We start from the raw sequence: 3,538 nt of genomic DNA, 5'->3' as shown, positions 1-3,538 counted from the left end.
AAATAGGATAGTGATTGAACTGCCTTTATTCATTTTACCATCAAAGGTCAATATGAAATCTATGACTTCTCATTCTGAGCAAATGAGAATGTGTCCAGAAAAAAAGAAAGCATAAACTAAATCAAAAGAAAAACATCCAAATCCACACTTGTTGGACACTTACAAGTTAAGAATGATGAGTCATAGAAGGCCCAATCCACGAGAGAAATGAGCAGTCTGGTTTATGGGAAGAATCCAATGCAAGAAGGCATTTACATGTAGCTAAATCACTGATCTTGAGAGGTCAAGGAAGATAGAAACCTTATTTAATGACAAGGTAACAAAAACAGAAATAATACTTTTTAAATGATTTTTAAAATCTTACTTGTGGAGGAGCCAAGATGGCCGAATAGGAACAGCTCCGGTCTACAGCTCCCAGCGCGAGCGACGCAGAAGACGGTGATTTCTGCATTTCCATCTGAGGTACCGGGTTCATCTCACTAGGGAGTGCCAGACAGTGGGCGCAGGTCAGTGGGTGCGCGCACCGTGCGCGAGCCGAAGCAGGGTGAGGCATTGCCTCACTCGGGAAGCGCAAGGGGTCAGGGAGTTCCCTTTCTGAGTCAAAGAAAGGGGTGACGGACGGCACCTGGAAAATCGGGTCACTCCCACCCGCATACTGCGCTTTTCCGACAGGCTTGAAAAACGGCGCACCACGAGATTATATCCCACACCTGGCTCGGAGGGTCCTACGCCCACGGAGTCTGGCTGATTGCTAGCACAGCAGTCTGAGATCAAACTGCAAGGCGGCAGCAAGGCTGGGGGAGGGGCGCCCGCCATTGCCCAGGCTTGCTTAGGTAAACAAAGCAGCCGGGAAGCTCCAACTGGGTGGAGCCCACCACAGCTCAAGGAGGCCTGCCTGCCTCTGTAGGCTCCACCTCTGGGGGCAGGGCACAGACAAACAAAAAGACGGCAGTAACCTCTGCAGACTTAAATGTCCCTGTCTGACAGCTTTGAAGAGAGCAGTGTTTCTCCCAGCAGGCAGCTGGACATCTGAGAACAGGCAGACTGCCTCCTCAAGTGGGTCCCAGACCCCTGATCCCCAAGCAGCCTAACTGGGAGGCACCCCCCAGCAGGGGCACACTGACACCTCACACGGCAGGGTATTCCAACAGACCTGCAGCTGAGGGTCCTGTCTGTTAGAAGGAAAACTAACAAACAGAAAGGACATCCACACCAAAAACCCATCTCTACATCACCATCATCAAAGACCAAAAGTAGATAAAACCACAAAGATGGGGAAAAAACAGAACAGAAAAACTGGAAACTCTAAAAAGCAGAGCGCCTCTCCTCCTCCAAAGGAACGCAGTTCCTCACCAGCAACGGAACAAAGCTGGATGGAGCATGACTTTGACGAGCTGAGAGAAGAAGGCTTCAGACGATCAAATTACTCTGAGCTATGGGAGGACATTCAAACAAAAGTCAAAGAAGTTGAAAACTTTGAAAAAAATTTAGAAGAATGTATAACTAGAATAACCAATACAGAGAAGTGCTTAAAGGAGCTGATGGAGCTGAAAACCAAGGCTCGAGAACTACGTGAAGAATGCAGAAGCCTCAGGAGCCGATGCGATCAACTGGAAGAAAGGGTATCACCGATGGAAGATGAAATGAATGAAATGAAGGGAGAAGGGAAGTTTAGAGAAAAAAGAATAAAAAGAAATGAGCAAAGCCTCCAAGAAATATGGGACTATGTGAAAAGACCAAATCTACGTCTGATTGGGGTACCTGAAAGCGATGGGGAGAATGGAACCAAGTTGGAAAACACTCTGCAGGATATTATCCAGGAGAACTTCCCCAATCTAGCAAGGCTGGCCAACGTTCAGATTCAGGAAATACAGAGAACGCCACAAAGATACTCCTCGAGAAGAGCAACACCAAGACACATAATTGTCAGATTCACCAAAGTTGAAATGAAGGAAAAAATGTTAAGGGCAGCCAGAGAGAAAGGTCGGCTTACCCTCAAAGAGAAGCCCATCAGACTAACAACGGATCTCTCGGCAGAAACCCTACAAGCCAGAAGAGAGTGGGGGCCAATATTCAACATTCTTAAAGAAAAGAATTTTCAACCCAGAATTTCATATCCAGCCAAATTAAGCTTCATAAGCGAAGGAGAAATAAAATACTTTACAGATAAGCAAATGCTGAGAGATTTTGACACCACCAGGCCTGCCCTAAAAGAGCTCCTGAAGGAAGTGCTAAACATGGAAAGGAACAACCGGTACCAGCCCCTGCAAAATCATGCCAAAATGTAAAGACCATCCAGACTAGGAAGAAACTGCATCAACTAACGAGCAAAATAACCAGCCAACATCATAATGACAGGATCGAATTCACATATAACAATATTAACTTTAAATGTAAATGGACTAAATGCTCCAATTAAAAGACACAGACTGGCAAATTGGATAAAGAGTCAAGACCCATCAGTGTGCTGTATTCGGGAAACCCATCTCACGGGCAGAGACACACATAGGCTCAAAATAAAAGGATGGAGGAAGATCTACCAAGCAAATGGAAAGCAAAAAAAGGCAGGGGTTGCAATCCTAGTCTCTGATAAAACAGACTTTAAACCAACAAAGATCAAAAGAGACAAAGAAGGCCATTACATAATGGTAAAGGGATCAATTCAACAAGAAGAGCTAACTATCCTAAATATATATGCACCCAATACAGGAGCACCAAGATTCATAAAGCAAGTCCTGAGTGACCTACAAAGAGACTTAGACTCCCACACATTAATAATGGGAGACTTTAACACCCCACGGTCAACATTAGACAGATCAATGAGACAGAAAGTCAACAAGGATACCCAGGAATTGAACTCAGCTCTGCACCAAGCAGACCTAATAGACATCTACAGAACTCTCCACCCCAAATCAACAGAATATACATTTTTTTCAGCACCACACCACACCTATTCCAAAATTGACCACATACTTGGAAGTAAAGCTCTCCTCAGCAAATGTAAAAAACAGAAATTATAACAAACTATCTCTCAGACCACAGTGCAATCAAACTAGAACTCAGGATTAAGAATCTCACTCAAAACCGCTCAACTACATGGAAACTGAACAACCTGCTCCTGAATGACTACTGGGTACATAACGAAATGCAGGGAGAAATAAAGATGTTCTTTGAAACCAATGAGAACAAAGACACGACATACCAGAATCTCTGGTACGCATTCAAAGCAGTGTGTAGAGGGAAATTTATAGCACTAAATGCCCACAAGAGAAAGCAGGAAAGATCCAAAATTGATGCCCTAACATCACAATTAAAACAACTAGAAAAGCAAGAGCAAACATATTCAAAAGCTAGCAGAAGGCAAGAACTAACTAAAATCAGAGGAGAACTGAAGGAAATAGAGACACAAAAAACCCTTCAAAAAATTAATGAATCCAGGAGCTGGTTTTTTGAAAGGATCAACAAAATTGATAGACCGCTAGCAAGACTAATAAAGAAAAAAAGAGAGAAGCATCAAATAGATGCAATAAAAAATGAT

The sequence above is a fragment of the Homo sapiens genome, chromosome 7 (genome assembly GCF_000001405.40).
Source record: "Homo sapiens chromosome 7, GRCh38.p14 Primary Assembly".
NCBI lineage: Eukaryota > Metazoa > Chordata > Mammalia > Primates > Hominidae > Homo > Homo sapiens.
The sequence above is the reverse complement of the archived record's forward strand: the minus strand, read 5'-3'. Positions refer to the sequence as shown.